The 19546-nt window shown below is 38.9% G+C and overlaps 1 protein-coding gene and 1 pseudogene across 29 annotated transcripts in view, besides 1 other annotated feature; both read left to right on the top strand.

Annotated features, from left to right (window-relative positions):
* Positions 1-19546, top strand: part of ATAD2B (ATPase family AAA domain containing 2B) — a 249155-nt gene that overhangs the window by 53281 nt on the left and 176328 nt on the right. For all 29 annotated transcript variants that reach the window (XR_001738780.3, NR_125717.2, XR_001738782.3 and 26 more), the window contains 5 exons: positions 4082-4180; positions 5897-6008; positions 8919-9034; positions 10288-10462; positions 16340-16428. Coding sequence is in view for 26 of the 29 variants with exons in the window: in XM_047444799.1 (XP_047300755.1) it covers positions 4082-4180; positions 5897-6008; positions 8919-9034; positions 10288-10462; positions 16340-16428 (591 nt within the window). In the remaining 3 variants the exon portion in view is untranslated. The remainder of the gene's footprint in view (positions 1-4081; positions 4181-5896; positions 6009-8918; positions 9035-10287; positions 10463-16339; positions 16429-19546) is intronic.
* Positions 810-1578, top strand: PGAM1P6 (phosphoglycerate mutase 1 pseudogene 6; annotated as a pseudogene).
* Positions 13537-13737: a silencer, noted in NCBI's record as "peak3620 fragment used in MPRA reporter construct". NCBI's record gives its function as "represses an SCP1 promoter by STARR-seq MPRAs in K562 erythroleukemia cells {active_cell/tissue: K562}" and the evidence as "EXISTENCE:reporter gene assay evidence [ECO:0000049][PMID:32103011]".

The following is a 19546-nucleotide window of genomic DNA, read 5'->3' as shown; positions in this document are numbered from 1 at the left end:
GTATTATTGTTATTTGTATCACACCTAAAAATGTTACAGATCTAACAATACATTGTTGGCATTATTACTTTATATGATTTAATGGCTTTTACTGAAGCTACGAGAAGAAACATTAGCAAGTACAGTTGGTCCTCTTGAGCTACAGGTTCTGCATCTGTGAATGCAACCAACCACACCTCGAAAATATTTGAGAAAAAACCCCAACAATACAACAACAAAAAATACAGCTTGATGACTATTTATATAGCATGTGTTGTATTAGGTATTATAATTAATTTAGAGATGATTTAAAGTATACAGGAGGTAACTCTTACGTTAAGTCTTTGATAAATTTTCAAAAAAAGTGTGTGGGAGGATGTGTGTAGGCCATATGCAATGTGCAAACACTATACTATTTTTATGTAAGGGACTTAAGCATACTTGAATTTTGGTATTCGCAAGGGTCCTGGAATCATTCCCCTGTAGATACTAAGGGATGACTGTATATGTTTATAGGTATTGTTATATTAACTTTTCAATTGATTTACCATTTTTGGTTCTCTTTATTTTTTATGCATTCAGTTTACTATCTGAAGTCATTTTCTTAGACCAATACAACTTTTCTCCCACCAACTTCCTTCTGTGCTATTATTGGCAAATTTATTACATTTCTATATGTTATAGGCCCAATACACACATAAACTTGGGAACTTTCCTGATGGGGAGAAAGAAGTAGAGGAGAGGATAAATATCAAAATTGCAAAGAATAAGTAGATAATTTTTGCAACTATCTTCCTGAAGAGTTGGGAAGTATCAAAAATTGATGTAGGGCCTCCCCAGCCCGCTGCCATGGCCACCTACAAACTGGTGTTGATCTGGCCCAGTGAGAGCACCTGGAACCTGGAGAACTGCTTCAGCGACTGGTACAATGCCAATGTGAGCCCGGCGGGCCATAAGGAGATGAAGAGTGGCAGGCAGGCAGGCACTGTGAGATGGCTGGCTATGAGTTTGACATCTGCTTCACCTCAGTGCAGAAGAGAGCAATCTGGACCCTCTGGACAGTGCTAGATGCCATTGATCAGATGTGGTTGCCTGTAGTGAGGACTTGGTGCCTCAGTGAGCAGCACTATGGGGGTCTGACTGATCTCAGTAAAGCAGAAACTGCTGCAAAGCATGGTGAGGCCCAGGTGAAGATCTGGAGGCTCTCCTATGATGTTCCACCACCTCCGATGGAGCCTGACCATCCTTTCTACAGCAACATTAGTAAGGATCGCAGGCATGCAGACCTCACGGAGGATCAGCTACCCTCCTGTGAGAGTCTGAAGGACTCTCAAAGCCAGAGCTCTGCCGTTTTGGAATGAAGAAATAGCTCACCTGGTAAAAGAGGGGAAATGGGTGCTGATTGCAGTGCATGGCAACAGCCTCTGGGGCATTGTGAAACATTTGGATGGTCTCTCTGAAGAGGCTGTCATGGAGCTGAACCTGCCGACTAGTATTCCCATTGTCTATGAATTTGACAAGAACTTGAAGACCATCAGGTGCATGCAGTTCCTGGGGGATGAAGAGACTGTGCGTAAAGCCGTGGAAGCTGTGGCTTCCTGCTCTTAGCTATGATCGTGTCACTTCACTCCAGCCTGGGTTGACAGAGTGAGACCTTCTATCTAAAAACAAAAATAAAAACAGAAACAGGCTGGGCATGGTGGCTCATGCCTGTAATCCCAGCAGTTTGGGAGGCCGAGATGGGCGAATCATGAGGTCAGGAGTTCAAGACCAGTCTGGCCAACATAGTGAAACCCTGTCTCTACTAAAAATACAAAAATTAGCTGGGCGTGTTGGTGTGCACCTGTAATCCCAGCTACTTGGGAACTTGAGGCAGGAGAATCGCGTGAACCCAGGAGACAGTGGTTGCAGTGAGTCGAGATTGCGCCATTGCACTCTAGCCGGGGTGACCGTGCGAGATTCTGTCTCAAAAAAAAAGAAAAACAAACCCAAAAACAATTCCTTCTTCCCTCACAAAAATGGATGCAGAAGTTAATGAAAGGATTCCGATTAGTAGAGAAGGAGTAGGAGGTGGGTTAAGGATCTTAAGGAGAAGTTGAGAAAATCTGGGTTGCTAATGGGACATGTGGGCATTGGAGTGGAGTACTGATGCACAGATTTTGGGACATCTTTGAAGGCTATTTGTGCTTGAAGTAAATTACTGACAATGATTGCAGCTTGTATGGTTGTGTGGATTTTCATTAGTGTGTTCAGTGTTCTACTTTTATTACTTGGATTGGTACAGGGTTGGAATTCAGCAAGTGTAATGGAAGAAAAAGGAGACAGAGTCAGGTAGAAAGATTAAAAACTGAAGTAATAGCTTTTCCTGTGAGGCTTGACAGAAAATTAAGCCACGAAGGGAGTTGACTCTGAGTCAGTGGGTGCTCGGGTATAGTAGGCCTTGATGAGTTGAAAGTTGGTATGTTAGGAGGTTATGTTCAAAAAGTAGGCCATTGAATTTTAAAATTGCAGAGGTGGAGAGCAGTTCACGCGGTAACAAGATCCGAGGTAAGATCATGGCAAATGTTTTTTTTTTAGTAAAGCAGAGCTGAGGGTGGTTAAATGGCTAGGCAGGTGGTAAGCGAAACCTAGGTAGGGGTGGAGAAGAAGACGATATAAGGGATATTTACAGGGAATGTGGCTAGAGCTCAATGGCAGTGATTATGTGGTGGGCAAAAAGGGATTTAGGATGATTTTTGAGGTTTTTTTTTTTTTGCAAATTACTAGTTAGTGGAACTGCTAACTGAATATACAGTTTAAAAGAAGTGGTTGAAGCATTTGATTTGGATATGATGAACTCAATTTGAACACTTCGTGAGCACACAATTTTGTGGTGGTTTTATTATAGTATTTTTTAGGTGTCTTAGCGATGTCATGAGTTATACTAATAATCTGGCATTCATTAAGTATTATTTTTCCTTCGTGATGACTTCAGCCTGGCAAATTACCTAATCTCTCCATAGTAGTTCTGGTTATAAACTATTTTTTTCTTCAAAATATTTTATGTATTTTATAAGAAGTTCAAACAGGATGGAAATATCTTAAGTGAGTTAAAGCCCTTGTCCTCTGTAAACCAGTGTATTATTTTTCCTTTGTTCTTTAAATGTCTGGACTGTGACTATTTGGGAAAGATAAAATTAAAAAAAAAAACCAAACTTTTTTTTTTCTGAGATTCTAATGTTATTTATCAAACAGTGACCGATATTCGCTAAATTTGGATGTAATTTAAATTGGTTGCTGGCCCTGTGCGGTGGCTTATATCTGTAACTCCAGCACTTTGGGAGGCCAAGGTGGGTAGATCACTTGAGCTCAGGAGTTTGAGACCACCTTGGGAAACATGGTGAAACTCCCTCTTTACAAAAAGTACAAAAACTAGCCAGTGTGGTGGCGGGTGCCTCCAGTCTCAGTTACTTGGGGGTTTGAGGCAGGAGGATCGCTTGAGCCCTGGAGGTTGAGGCTGTAGTGAGCCCTGACCTTGCCACCGCACTCCAGCCTGGGTGACAGAGTGAGACACTGTCTCAAAAAAAAAAAAAAAAAAAGTTGGTTACTGACTCCCTTCCTGAATTATTCTTTTAAAAAAAACTTTAGGCTTTCTATTCTCCTTTTTTTTTTTTTTCCGAGAAGGAGTCTTGCTCTGTCACCCAGGCTGGAGTGCACTGGTGCAATCTCAGCTCACTGCAACCTCCGCCTCCCGGGTTCAAGCAATTCTTCTTCCTCAGCCTCCCGAGTAGCTGGGACTACAGGTGCCCACCCCGTGCCTGGCTAATTTTTGTATTTTTAGTAGAGCTGGAGTTTCACCATGTTGGCCAGGCTGGTCTCGAACTCCTGACCTCATGATCCACCCACCTTGACTGCCCAAAGTGCTGGGATTACAGGCCTTTTTTTTTCTTTTTCTCTGCAGAACTTGCTACCTTTATACTTCATGTAAATTGTATGAGGGTAAAAAATCTTAATAAATATTTGCTGAATGAATTTTCTCTGAGCTAATTGTAGATATTACAGTGTGTTTTAAAAAGTTGTTTGCTATTATAATGGTTTTAAGGATTTTACTCTCTTTAAATAGGAGAAAGAAGCATGCCATTCATAGTAGTGACACAACTTCTTCTGATGAGGAACGCTTTGAAAGAAGGAAATCAAAGAGCATGGCAAGAGCAAGAAATAGGTTAGTAAAATTTGTAATGTTATTTCCATGGTAGAAAAAAGGAAAAATAAGTTTTTTTTGAGTGATTTTCTTTGCTAACATTGATATTCAACACATATTTTAGACTAGATTAAGACATTGACTTGGTTTCTACTTAGCTTTTCTTTCAATAAAAATCTAACCTTTCCCCAAAATCATTTAGTCTGAAAGTACTTACGATAAAATAATTTGTGGAGAGGGAAAGTAAGGAGAGCTAAGGGAAACAGGCCAACCTATATGGCAGTGTCTGTCTTTTCCTCTGTACCTCCTTTCTAATCTAAATCCATTTAATGAGGTTGATTTTAGGTACTTATAATGATTACAGTATTATAGCAGTCAGATTAAGACATGGTTTCTAATAGAATTATCTCAGGAAACCTTAGATTTTTATTGGAAAAAATTACTTTGTTTTTGTTGTCAGTTGAACAAGTGCCTCTGGTGATCTTTCCCTAACTAGGGTAACTAACTGATCACTGTTGGGCTCACTAAAACCTCAGAGAATTTTCAGTGGAGGAGTAAATAATTAAAGTGTCAAATTATTATTTATTGTAGAAATACCAAGTTTTCAGTTAGCAGGTCTTGGAAACAAGTTTGGATCAGTTAGATAGTGTACTAAAAAAGAATTTCTCATCTGAATGATGGAAAGAAAATGAGAAAAATCCAAGTTTAAATAAAAGCGTTTAATGCCTATTTAATCCGAACTATTCTGATAATCTACTTTGATAATATATTTTTATAAATTAGGATTCAGAAATATCAATGAAGTTACATTCATTATAGATGCTAGACTTTTTTGAGGCTGTTAATGTCATTGGTGTTTACCCAAGGTTAAAAGAGGAAGTTGACTATATTAATTTACAGAAATTAAATAATGTAGTATATTAAATAATGTGTTAAATAATGTAGTATAGAGATCTCTCTTAAGGTAGTTACACAAAAGATGAAGCTTAGTGTTCAAGATGTGATCTCTGGTTTTTTTTTGAAAAAAATGGAAAGACAATTTTTTCAATCATATAACTGAGTAGACATATTCGTGTAATAGTTGAGGATAGATTTAAATATTATAATAAAGGTTGGGCTGATGGCTTACGCCTGTAATCCCAGCATTTTGGGTGGCTGAGCCTAGGAATTTGAGACCAGCCTAGGCAACATAGTAAGACCTTGTCTGTATAAAAAATCAGCCAGGTGTAGTGTTGCCTGCCTGTAGTTCCAGCTATTTGGAAGGCTGAGGTGGGAGGATCACTTGAGCCCAGGAGGTTGAGGCTGTAGTGAGCTGTGATTGCACCACTGCATTCCATCCTGGGCAACAGAGTGAGATCTTGTCTCAATCAATCAATCAGTAGCTTAATTTTATTTTAATCCCATATATTATAATACATATAGGTTTATTTTTATTTTATAGTTGTATAACATGGGATAATCAGGTATGTTAAGATGTTTTCCTAAAATGGAATAGATTGGGCTCTTCGGGCAAATAGATTAACGATCTTGTTTGCTTTATCTAGTGAGTAACTTAATTTTTGGCCATTGACAAGAATGTAAGAAAAGTAGAGTAAAAGTATGAAATCCTTTGATATTATTTTCTGGGTTATGAGAAAAAGGAGAAAGATGAAGACACATCAAAGAATGTAAACTTATTTTGACATTAAAAATGTGAAACTTTTAATGCAACTTTACTTGCACTTTTATAAATTTCAGATGTTTGCCTATGAACTTCAGAGCAGAGGACTTAGCTAGCGGTATTCTCCGAGAACGAGTGAAAGTGGGTGCAAGCTTGGCTGATGTTGATCCAATGAACATTGATAAATCAGTAAGTTTTGTAAATGTTTTTCTAGAAGTTTTCTTTTTTTTAAAAGTTTTTTTCTTGTTTCTAAAGCAGCACATAGTAGAACTAGAAAATTCGGATATGACAGTGTTAATGTTTCGATGTATATGTTTTGAAACCTAAGAACCCTAGCCACAAGTGGTGCTTAGTCAGATATTTTCATTTCAGTGTTACTGGAATATGTAACAGGTAGGAAATGAGGCTGAGAAGGTTATGAGGGGCAAGGCTTCATAAACCATGATGAACAATGGGCTGTTGTTGAAATTGCCTAGTTTCATGATTTTGTATTTTGGGTAGCTCACTCTGGCTATGATATAGTTAATGAATTTGGGGGAAGCAAGGCTGGCATTAGGGAGACTGGATGTTGCTGTAGTCTAGTAATCTGGAGTAGTGGTCATGGTAGAAACTAGGATAACTTTGAAGAAGTAAATGGGTTTGAAAGAATTGAGGATTGAATTCAGAAATGACAGAATTTGGTGAATTAATTGCTTTTGGGGAACAAGAGAAAGGTACAACTTGAGAGTATTACCCAGGTTTCTAGCTTAGGTGACTAGGTAGATAATGGATGGTCTGGATGGAGAATGGCTTGATTCTCTGAGTAGGGAACATGAGAAGAGGAATAAATGTTTGAGGCAGGAAGATGATTTAATTAGTTGTATTTAACTAATACATGTTTAGGTATCTGAGGTATACTACAAGTGGAAGCACCTTGTAGGTAATGGGTTATTTAGGTTTGGCATTAAGGAGAAATACCTGGACTAGAAATTCAAATACGGGTCATCAATATAAAGAGCGGTGAGGTCACTTTGGAAAATAGATGATCGATCACACCTGGGGAAGATACATAGCACAAAAACAGGCACAAGACTCGGAGGACATGGTAGATTCTTTCTCATTGTTAGTAGTATCTTATTTTGGGGGATATTTTGGAATAAGGTTACTGCATAACCAAGAATTTATTTGACACATTTTTTCTTTTTTCCCAAAAATCTCTCTATACAACATAATTTAAGTGATTTCCATAGAGAGATTTAAAATAAGTTATCAAATAGAATTGCATATATACTTGAAGATGAAATTTTAACTATCTCTAATCTGAAGTCATAGAGGAAAATGCTTATCTTATTTATTAATGGGACCCTAAGAAAATATTAGAGTATTGCATATGAGCAGAATCCCATTTCTAATAGTGCACCTTCTCAGAAGACCTTACCTAATGATCTTTGCTTATTTGGCTTACCAGCACTTTACTCTTTTGAATCTAGTTAATTTCTTTTTTGTCTTTAAAAAATTTTTTTCTTCATTTTTATTTTCCTTTCATTTATTTTCATCTGTCCATTTACAGATGAATCTAGTAAACTTTAGATGTCTCTGCCAAAGTAGACTAAATTCTTTTTCTCTTTTTTTTGTTTTTGAGATGGAGTTTCGCTCTTGTTGCCCAGGCTGGAGTACAATGGCGCAATCTCAGCTTACCGCAACCTCCGCCTCCCGGGTTCAAGCGATTCTCCTGCCTCAGCCTCCCGAGTAGCTGGGATTACAAGCATGCGCCACCACGCCCAGCTAATTTTGTATTTTTTTAGTAGACGGGATTTTTCCATGTTGGTCAAGCTGGTCTCGAACTCCTAAGCTCAGGTGATCCTCCCGCCTTGGCCTCCCAAAATGTTAGGATTACAGGCGTGAGCCACCGTGCCAGGCCACTTATTTCTTTAAAATTTGATACCAAATACAAGAAAATTTAGCTTCTCTTAAAATGTTTCTGTTATTTAACTTGTTTTTATTTTTCTGTTAATAGTTTACTTTCACTTTTTCTATCATAGTAATACTTTCATTGTAAAACATTTTCAAGTACCATAACAGAATGAAGAAGCAGGGAAGAGGCAGTCACAGTTAACACTTTGGGTAAAATTTTCTTAAAGCATTTTTTGTCTGTACACTTTTTTTCTTACAAAGCTTTCTAGCTATTTAAACTATTATGGGTGGGAGGAACAATCTTTGCTGCTTCTTGTGATAGATCAGTGTTTCTAAAATAATTTTTTCATCATTGTCCCATAAAGAAAAAAAAAAGTAAATTTCTCTCTGACTAGAGAAATTAAATGTTAAAGAATAAGATTTTGTCAGGTAACATTGACCTTGGGAGGTCTACAAACTATTGTAAATAGCTAAGATTTTTTCTTGCCCTACCCTTGAACCAATTTTTGCCTCTGTGAGGACAATATTGCCCCCTTCTGAGAATACATGTACAAAATAATTATATATTTTTAAAGCCATTTAAACTTTTTTTTTTTTTTTTGAGGTGGAGTTTCACTCTTGTTGCCCAGGCTGTAGTGCAATGGTGCGATCTCAGCTCACTGCAACCTCCGCCTCCCAGGATCAAGCTATTCTCCTGCCTCAGCCTCCCAAGTAGCTGGGATTACAGGCGTGCGCCACCATGCCCAGCTAATTTTTGTATTTTTAGTAGAGATGGTGTTTCACCATGTTGGGCAGGCTGGTCTCGAACTCCTGAGCTCAGGTGATCCGCCCTCCTTGGGCTCCCAAAGTGCTGGGATTACAAGTGTGAGCCACTGTGCCAGGCCCATTAAAACTTGGTATAATATAAAAATTATATATGTTAGTATAATATAAAAATCTCCTATAGATACCTATTAAAGTTTTAGGTTGGGGATTAATCCTGGTTCTGAGTTACTAGATTAAATAATGGTAGCTTAATTTGCCTGAACTGAAATGTAAACTTGGATTTTATTGTTGGCCTTTTTTTTCTACACTTATTTGTAGTTATGTTTAAAAGCTTCTGCTAAAGGCATGTATTTCTGAATCGTAAGACTCTTTTATAAATTTTAAAAATTCTATAAAACATATAAAATTGTTTGATATCAAATTTTTCCCCTTCTTTCCAAGGTACGGTTTGATAGCATAGGTGGATTGAGCCATCATATTCATGCGCTAAAGGAAATGGTAGTATTCCCACTTTTATATCCAGAAATTTTTGAAAAGTTTAAAATTCAGCCTCCAAGGTAAGCAATGTCATAGATGTTTATTATTGTTATTACTGTTACTTTCTCAAATGTTATTTGAGTAAATTGCTATAAATATAAATATTTGATATATATTTATTTGACGTGTCCTAGCAATGACAGTTAGAAATGAAATGTTATTGTTTAGGGTCCAGAGGCCATGGAACTAAGTATGTTCTTGAAGTTTACATCTCAGGATTTAAGTCAGGCACTTGATAAGATTCTTTCTGTGGGCCCTAAATACACAACCAGATTGTCCAGATGGGTTTTTCTGAATTTGGCTCCCAGTGCATCGAGTTTGATGCTATATGTTATTTACTCTTGGAAGCACAGTTTTATTGATGTGTTTCTTTGACTTGATGATGGAGTATTTTTGAAATAGAGTGAGCTTGATAATTTATTTGTAGGAACAGATTGTGCCTGATCATGAGGTGGATAGCTGGGGAACTATTGGAAAAGGCAGATAAATTATGTTAAAGAAGATTGGGCAGAATAGAATATTCTGGCTGGGCACGGTGGCTCAAGTCTGTAATCCCAGTACTTTGGGATCCCGAGGTGGGTGGATCACCTGAGGTCAGGAATTCGAGACCAGCTTGGCCAACATGGTGAAACCTCGTCTCTACTGAAAATACAAAAATTAGCTAGGGGTGGTGTCATGCCTCTGTAATCCCAGCTACTCGGGAGGCTGAGGCATGAGAATCAGTTGAACCCAGGAAGCGGAGGTTGTAGTGAGCCGAGATTGCGCCTGGGTGACAGTGAGGATTCCGTCTCAGAAAAAAAAAAAAAGAATATTCAGAAGATACACATATAGGCTGTTAGATTTAAACTGATAAATGTCTGTTTTCTTTAAGGAGGCACTTTTTATTCAGATTTTGTTCTAATTTATTTTTCACGTTTTTAAGGATATGGAAAATCTTATTAAAGAGTCATTTGAATCTATCTATCATTCCTTTTGAGTATTTCTACATTATTTATTCTAAAGATGTGAAATTTCTGGGTCATTGGGAAACACATTTAAAATTTCTATATATCTTGCCAAATTACTCTGTACTTTATTTCTTGTCTGCCAAAGCTTGGTGATTTAAGGACTTAGCAAAGTAAAACTTTTGTCTATATCCTGGAAAAAGCTTTATCAATGTCTAATAATTATACTTCAATACAAAATTATATGGAAGGGGGGGACATTTTTTAAAATTGGTTATCAGCAGTGATGATAATATAATTTACACTTCTTGATTTTTTTATTCTTCTAGGGGCTGTTTGTTTTATGGCCCTCCTGGCACAGGTAAAACCTTGGTTGCCAGAGCATTAGCTAATGAATGCAGCCAAGGAGACAAAAAAGTGGCTTTTTTTATGCGAAAAGGAGCAGATTGTTTGAGCAAGTGGGTTGGTGAATCTGAAAGGCAACTTAGGCTTCTTTTTGATCAGGTAAGAGAAATCATCTAATTCAAGAGTCTTTTCTGTTCTGTTCTGTTCTTTTCTTTCTTTGTTTTTTTGAGACAGGGCCTCTCTCTGTTACCCAGGCTGGAGTGAGTGCAATAGCGTGATCTCGTCTCACTACTGTCTTGACATCCAGGGCTCTAGCAATTCTCCTGCATCAGTCCTTGCCCCAGTAGCCTGAACTACAGGTGTGCATCACCACGCCTGGCTGATTTTTGTATTTTTTATAGAGGTGGGATTTCACCACGTTGGCCAGCTGGTCTCGAACTCCTGGGCTCAAGCAATCTGCCTGCTGAGAATATTTTCTTTAGAATATTTAATACGTTTAATCTGCAAATACAAACTGTTTATGAGGAAGCATATTTTCCATCCAATATGTTATATTCAGGATTAGTAATCTGTGATTGTATGCCTTAGAGGCATTTAATGGCAGTTTCACTAGTACTTTTGAATATTTATGATGGCTCATAAAACATTTATTGAGGTGGCTGCGAGGTATATAATACCATGTTAGGTGCTTTAGACAACACAGGATATAACATATATATTGCTAGATTATAATCCATTGGGGAACTACAACAGGCATAAAAACTTAAGTATCTGTGCAAGAAATCTCACAAAGTAGTGTGTTATTTTCATGAGCTGTAAATACGGTACTAGAAGAATTCAGACATGAGTGAATGCTTTTAAAAGGCAGAGCAGGGTGAATAAATATCATGTGGACTATGTCTACTATTTATTTGTAACAAAAACTTTAAAGATATTATTTCCTATACGTTTTAAGAATTATTCCAGCTGGGCACAGTGGCTGACGCCTGTAATCCCGATATTTTAAGAGGCCAAGGCAGATGGATTGCATGAGCCCCGGAGTTCAAGGCTGCAGTGAGCGATTATGACACCACTGTACTACAGTCTGGGCAATAGAGTGAGACTCTGTCTCTCAAAAAAAAAAAAAAAAAAAAAAAAACCAGTCCAAATATAAATTCACTTTTGATTGTTTGAGTTAGTGAAGGATGCTGTTCATATTTGGCAATGCAGCATATATTTGATTATGTCTGAGGAAATTCACGTGAAATAAAAAATAACTTCAAGCTTTGAGCACCCATTACTGAGATGGTGTGTGTGAAAGTCCTTTGTAATTGGTAAAGTACTTCACAATTTTTTTTTTTTTTTTGAAAGGGTCACGCTCTGTCACCCAGGCTGGAGTGCAGTGATGTGATTATAGTTCACTGCAACCTCAAACTCCTGGACTCAAGTGATCTTCCGGCCTTGGCCTCTCTAGGTAGAACTACAGGTGTGCACTACCACACTTGCCTAATTTTCAACTTTTTGGAAAGACAGGGTCCCAAGGTGTTGCCTAGGCTGGTCTTGAAGTCCTGGCCTTCAGCTATCCTCCCGCCTTGGCCTCCCAAAGTGTTGGGATTATAGGCATGAGCCTCTGTGTCTGGCCCAGTACTATTTTAAAATTATTAATAGTATCAAAAACTGCTAGATTTAGAAAAAGGAGTAGGTAAGATTTTTACCTTGAACGTGTCCAGTGTCTAATGGCGAGTCAAACATGCAGTCTGAATGCTTCAAGAGAATTCATTAATAATCAAACAATAAAAATATAAACATTTATAGATGAAGGAAGAATTGGCTTGGCAATGCTGGCATATTATTCAATGATTTAATTTAAAAATTTTAAAGTTATACTTTTGTAGCCATTTCATACTTGGGCTAGGGATGCCTCTTAGTTTTATTTAAAACCATAGCATAAATCATGCTACTCCTTTTGTCTAAATTTATTTTATTTCTGTTTCATAGTTTTCTTGGTGGGAGGAATAGTTGAAATGTTTGCTGTATTTTTTAAGAAAATTGCTGGTAATCCTGATTTTTTTTTTTTTTTTTAATGAAAGATTCTGCATTCCTAAGTTAAGGATATGGTCTATGCACTAAATGAAATGAAGGCACTACAGTGTATTGGCTAAGAGAGTGGCCTTCTATGTCAGAAAAATGTTTGTATCTATCTTTACCATTGAATATAACATTAAGTAAATCAAAACATTTAATCTTTAGTAGCCTTTTTTGTGCAATGGTAGAAAGAATACCTATCTTACTAGACTGTTATGAGATTTCACTGAGAAGACACAAAATATTTATCACAGTGACTGGCACGTAATATGCCCTACCTCCTTTTTGCAATACTGTGAGGGTGTAGTTATAAAAAAAAAAAAAAAGGAAAAAAACAACAACAACAGTTGTTTGTTTCATGTATATAAAAATAGTGATCAACACTCCCAAAGCACTGGGATTACAGGTGTGAGCCACTGCACTGGGCCATAATTCCAGTTCTTTTAACTTTTTTTCCCCAAAACCCCTATCTTGTAGTTGAATTATTTATTTATTTATTTATTTGATATGGAGTTTCGCTTTTGTCGCCCGGGCTGGAGTGCAATGGCGTGATCTTGGCTCACTGCAACCTCCACCTCCTGGGTTCAGGTGATTCTCCTGCCTTAGTCTCCCAAGTAGCTGGGATTATGGGCACCTGCCACCATGTCCAGCTAATTTTTGTATTTTTAGTACAGACAGGGTTTCACCATGTTGGCCAGGCTAGTCTGGAACTCCTGACCTCAGGTGATCCACCTGCCTTGGCTTCCCAAAGTGCTGGGATTACAGGCGTGAGTTACCATGCTCAGCCTGAATTGTCTTTCATTTCAAATTATTAGGAAACATTAAAGTTTAGTGCATATCACTCAGGAGAAATGGAAAATTCATCTCTCTTCCTTAGTAAACTGACCTTCCTGTGAACTGAGAGTTTCCTTTAATTTTGAAACATAAGCTACATAAATTTGAGTAAATTATATGATAAAAACTTCTCATTTGTTATCTAATATTCATTCATCTTAAATCAGATTCTTTCTAGATCTAATACTTAAGTGAGAAAAATGACACTGCAAATGTACCAGATGAAAACATGGGAGAATTTTGTTTATGATCTCAGAGTAGGGAGGTCTAACTATGTAAGGAAAGATCTAGCACATAAAAGAAATTTTAAGATTCTGCATGGCAACAAAATACATATTTTTGTTTTGTGCCGTTAGAACAGAAGATCACAGACTGTGTAATTTAGAATGAACAGAAATTTACTGACTCATAGTTCTGGAGACGAGGAAGTCCAAAATCAAGGCATCTGGTCAGTGCCTTCTTGCTGTGTCATAACATGACAGAAGACAGCATCCATAGCAGAAGGGCAAAGAGAGAGAGAGAGAATGCACAAGATGGGGGCAAACCCACTATCACAATAATAAATCTACTCCTTAGATGTCAGCCACATTAGTCTATTTATGAGGGTGGAGGCCTCAAGACCTACACACTTTTTAAAGGTCCTACCTCCCAATACCTGTCACAATGACAATTAAATTTCTTTTTTTTTTTTTGAGGCTGAGTCTCGCTCTGTCACCCAGGCTGGAGTGCAGTGGCACAATCTCGGCTCACAGCAACTTCTGTCTCCCGGGTTCAAGCGATTCTCATGCCTCAGCCTCCCGAGTAGCTGGGATTACAGGTGCCCCCCCCGCCACGCGTGGCTAATTTTTGTGTTTTTAGTAGAGACGGCGTTTCACCATGTTGACCAGGCTGGTCTCGAACTTCTGACCTCAAGAGATCCGCCTGTCTCGACCTCCCAAAGTGCTGGGATTACAGGCATGAGCCACCAAGCCCGGCCGGCAATTAAATTTCAACATGAGTTTTGGAGGGGACAAACTCAAACCATAGCAATACTAATTCAAAAGATAAATGATACTCTTTGCAGAAAAATATTTGCATTTCCTATTACAGACAGAGCATTCACCTTTAAAATAAATAAATAAGCCTGGGCAACGTGGTGAAACCCTGCCTCTATAAAAATACAAAAATTAGCCAAGTGTGTTGGCATGGACCTGTAGTCCTAGCTACTTAGGTGGCTGAGGCGGGAGAATTGATTGAGCTGGTGGGTGGAGGCTGAGGTGAGCTGTGATTATGTCACTGCACTCCAGCCTGGGTGAGAGAGTGAGACCTTGTCTCAAAAATTCAAAATAAATAAATAAATAAATAAATAAGTAGCTTCTAGAACTCACTAAGCAAAAGACTAGTGATCTTGTGAAGTAATGGGCAGCATAGGAAAAGCAATATAAATGACTTTTATGGATATATAATGTATCCATCTTATAAATAAGAATTGAAAATAAAATGAGATAACATTCTTTATCCTAAAAAATTAGCAAAGGTCAATAAGTTTGATAATACATTGCTGGTGAGCACCCTTAAATATTGCTGGTTAGAGGGTAAAATGATACTTCAGTGGATGGCAATTTGCAAATATCTAACTAGATTAGAAATGACACATGCCTTTTGAGCTAGTAGTTCTACTTTTAGGATTTATTATATTAATATGTTTATACTCATATGAAATGATAAATACAGTTATTTATTTACTATTATTTGTTACAATATTGTTGCCAATAGGAAAATATTGAAAACAGCCTAAGTATCCATAAGAAGGGGACAGGTTTAACTGTGGCACATCCATACGGTGGGACATCATATAGCTGTTGAAAACGAATGAGGCAGGCTGGACACAGTATCTCAGACCTGTAATCCCAGCACATTGGCAGGCCGAGGTGGAAGGGTCACTTGAGCCCAAGAGTTTGAGACCATCCCGGGCAACATAGTGAGAACTCATCTCTCCAAATACTTAAAAATTAGCTGGGCGTGTTGGTCCCTGCCTGTAGTCCCAGGTACTCTGGAGGCTGAAGCAAGAGGATTGTTTGCATTTGAGGTTGTAGTGAGCTGTGATCATGCCACTGCACTCAAGCCTGAGTGACAGAGTAAGACCCTGTCTGAAGAAAAAAAAAAAAAAAAAGAATGAGACAGGTCTTAAGTATACGGAAATTACTTAACAACATACATTGTTATATAAAAAGAATGTGTAGGCTGAGTGCGGTGGCTCACGCCTGTAATCCCAGCACTTTGGGAGGCCGAGGTGGGTGGATTACCTGAGGTGAGGAGTGTGAGAACAGCCTGGCCAACATGATGAAACCCCATCTCTACTAAAAATACAAAAATTAGCCAGGTATGGTGGCACATGCCTGTAATCCCAGCTACTCGGGAGGCTGAGGCAGGAGAATCAGTTGAACCCGGGAGGCGGAGGTTGCAGTGAACCAAGATTGCACCACTGTACTCCAGCCTGGGTGACAGAGCAAGACTCTGTCTCAAAAAATAAATAAATAAATAAATAAAACCTAAAACAAATAAATAAAAAGAATGTGTGTGGTGTGCTATCATGCGTGTTTAAAAAATACTCTTTGGTGGCCGGGTGTGGTGGCTCACACCTGTAATCCCAGCACTTTGGGAGGTCGAGGCGGGCAGATCACGAGGTCAGGAGATCGAGACCATCCTGACTAACGTGGTGAAACCCTGTCTCTACTAAAAAATACAACAAAATTAGCCGGGCGTGGTGGTGTGCGCCTGTAGTCCCAGCTACTCAGGAGGCTGAGGCAGGAGAATGGTGTGAATCTGGGAGACGGAGCTTGTAGTGAGCCGAGATCGTGCCACTGCACTTCAGCCTGGGTGACAGAGCGAGACTCCGTCTCAAAAAAAAAAAAAAAAAAAATACACTTTGGTTTGTGTATAAGTATGTATGGAAGAATAAACAAACTGAAAACAGTAGTTGCTTACTGGAGGAGACATGGTTGTTGGAAACTGGGTGGTAAGATTTCCTCGTTGCTATATACTCCTTCATACCTGCTGCATGTTGTACCATTTGCTTTTATTACCTATTAAGAAAATATAATAAATTTTAAAAATGAAAACAAATACAATAAATATTATTTGTTTTCTTCTTACTAGGCATATTTGATGAGACCTTCTATAATATTTTTTGATGAAATAGATGGATTAGCTCCAGTTCGCTCTAGCAGACAAGATCAGATCCACAGGTAATTTTTCTTTATCTGATTATCTTGATTTCTTTTTTACGCATTGACTTGGTAGTTAGCCTTAGCCCTTAGCTAAGTGCTATGAGGCTTACAAAGAAATTTAAAACAATCTGTGTCTGTGAGGACTACTTCTTTCTCTTAGTACAGGGGTCAGCACACCACAGCCTGTGAGCCAAATCCAGGCCTCTGTGTGTTTTTGTAAATGAAGTTATATTGGAATACAACCATGTTCATTCCTTAAGCATTGCATGTGGTTTCTTATGTGCTACAATAGTAGAGTTCAGCAGCTGTGATAGAGAGACCGAATGCGTTGCAAAGTTTAAAACATTTACTATGTGGGCTTTTAATTTTTTTTTTTTTTAATTTATTTTAGAGACGAGTTCTTGCTCTCTTGCCTAGGCTGGTTTTCAACTCCTGGCCTCAAACCATCCTCCCCAGTCAGCCTCCCAAAGTGCCGAGATTACAGGCGTGAGCCACTGTGTCCAGCCTATCTGACCTTTTACAGAAAAAGTTTTCTCATCCTAATTTAGCATAATTTTTTGGTTTTTTTTTTTAGAGTCAGAGTCTCACCCTGTCACCCAGGCTGGAGTGCAGTGGCGTAATCGCGGCTCACTGCAACCTCCACTTCCTGGGTTCAAGTGATTCTTATGCCTCAGCCTCCCAAGTAGCTGGGATTACAGGCATGTGCTGCCATGCCTGGCTAATTTTGTATTTTTAGTAGAGATGGGGTTTCGCCATATTGGCCAGGCTGGTCTTGAACTCCTGGCCTCAAGTGATCTGCCTGCCTCCGCCTCCCAAAGTGCTGGGATTATAGATGTGAGCTACTGTGTCTGGCCTCGATGTCATGTATGCTAATATTTTATTCTTTTTCACTCCCCAGGAGTATTCCTTAATGTATATGTGTGTGTGTATACTACTATTTATTTTTCAATCTACCATCTGATGGGAGATTTGTTTTGCTTCTATTTTTAGCTATTATGATAATGCTCAACCTGCTACAGGTTGAGCATCCCAAATCCAAAAATCTGAAATCTGAAATGTTCCAACATTTGAAACTGTTTGAATTTTCACATGACACTCAAAGGAAATGCTCATCAAAGCTTTTTCAGTTTTGGATTTTGGGATTCAGGAAGCTCCACTGGTAAATATAATGCAAATATTCCAAAATCTGAAAAATATCCCAAGTTTAAAATAATTCTGGTCTGAAGCTTTTTTTTTTTTTTTTTGAGATGGAGTCTCACTCTGTTGCCCAGGCTGGAGTGCAGTGGCGGGATCTTGGCTCACTGCAACCTCTGCCTCCCGGGTTCAAGCAGTTCTCCTGCCTCAGCCTCCCAAGTAGGTGGGATTACAGGCATGTGCCACCACGCCTGGCTATTTTTTTTGTATTTTTAGTAGAGACTGGGTTTCACCATATTGGCCAGGCTGGTCACGAACTCCTGACATTGTGATCCACCCGCCTCAGGCTCCCAAAGTGCTGGAATTACAGGCATGAGCCACCATGCCCGGCCGGTCCAAAGCATTTTTAAGAGACTGGATCTCATTCTCTTACCTAGGCTGGAGTGCAATGGTGTGATCATAGCTCACTGTAACCTCAAACTTCTAGGCCCAAGTGATCCTACTGCCTCAGCCTCCTGAGTAGCTAGAACTACAGGCATGCAGTACCCCACCTGGCTAATTTTTGTATTTGTTGTAGAGACGGAGTCTCGCTATGTTTCCCTGGTTGGTTTCTGACACCTAGTCTCAAGCGAGCCCTCCATCTTGGCCTCTCAAAGCGTCTCTACAAGTTTTTGTGTGGACATGTTTTCTTTTCTGTTGGGTAAATCCCTGAGAGAGGAATTTCTGGAGCCTATGGTAAATGTGTGTTTAAGTTTCTAAGGTAACACTGTACTGTTTTCCAAAGTGGTTTTACCATTTTTATTTTCCTATAACGTATGATAATTTGAGTTGTTCCTCATCCTTGCCAACAATTGGTGGTGTTAACTGTCTTTAACTTTAGCCATCCTAGTGGGTGTACAGTAATGGATTTAATTTGCATTAATAGTAATACAAATAATATTAAGCTTTAATATTAATCCAATAATATTGAGCATCTTTGTGTTTATTGCCTGTTTATATATTTTCATTTGTGAAATGTCTGTAAATCTTTTGCGCCATTTTTTAAAACTAGAAATTAGATTGTGTGTCTTGTTGTGTTGTAGTCCTTGTGTTTTTTTTTTTTTTTTGAGACAGAGTCTTGCTCTGTTGCCCTGTTGGAGTGCAGTGGTGCGATCTCAGCTCACTGCAACCTCCGCACCCCGCATTGAAGCGATTCTCCTGGCTCAGCCTCTCGAGTAGCTGGGATTACAGGTGTGCACCACCATGCCCGGCTAATTTTGTATTTTTAGTAGAGACAGGGTTTTGCCATGTTGGCCAGACTGGTCTCGAACTCTTGACCTCAAGTGATCTGCCTGCCGTGGCCTCCCAAAGTGCTGGGATTACAGGCATGAGACAATACCCCTGGCCCAGTCTTTGTTTTGAAATTTTTTTCCAGTGTTCTGGCTTGTATCTTTGTTTGCTTAGTTAGGACTTTTGAAGAGTCAGGATTTGAATTTTGATAAAGCCACCATATAGATTTAAAAAATGTATCTGTGCCTTTTGTGTTCTGCTTGAGAAAAGTTGCCTAAATAAGTGTGGCAATAATTTTCTTGGATGTTTTCTTTGAAAATATTAATAGCGTTAGCTTTTTTTTTTTTTTTTGAGACGAAGTCTCGATCTTGTGCCCCAGGCTGGAGTGCAATGGCACGATCTTGGCTCACTGCAACCGCCGCCTGCCAGGTTCAAGCGATTCTCCTGCCTTGGCCCCCCGAGTAGCTGGGATTACAGGTGCCTGCCACCACGCCTGGCTAATTTTTGTATTTTTAGTAGAGGTGGGGTTTCACCATATTGGCCAGGCTGGTCTAGAACTCCTGACCTCAGGTGATCCACCCACCTCGGCCTCCCAAAGTGTTGGGCTTACAGGCATGAGCCACTGTTCCCAGCCAGTGTTAGCTCTTAATATTTAAGTCAATGATTCATTTTACGTTAATGTTTGTGTATCAGTAAGAGGTGAGGGTTTAAGTTAATTTTTGTAGATAGTTTA

Source organism: Homo sapiens, chromosome 2 (genome assembly GCF_000001405.40).
Source record: "Homo sapiens chromosome 2, GRCh38.p14 Primary Assembly".
In the NCBI taxonomy this organism is placed as follows: Eukaryota; Metazoa; Chordata; class Mammalia; order Primates; family Hominidae; genus Homo; species Homo sapiens.
The sequence above is the reverse complement of the archived record's forward strand: the minus strand, read 5'-3'. Positions and strand labels throughout refer to the sequence as shown.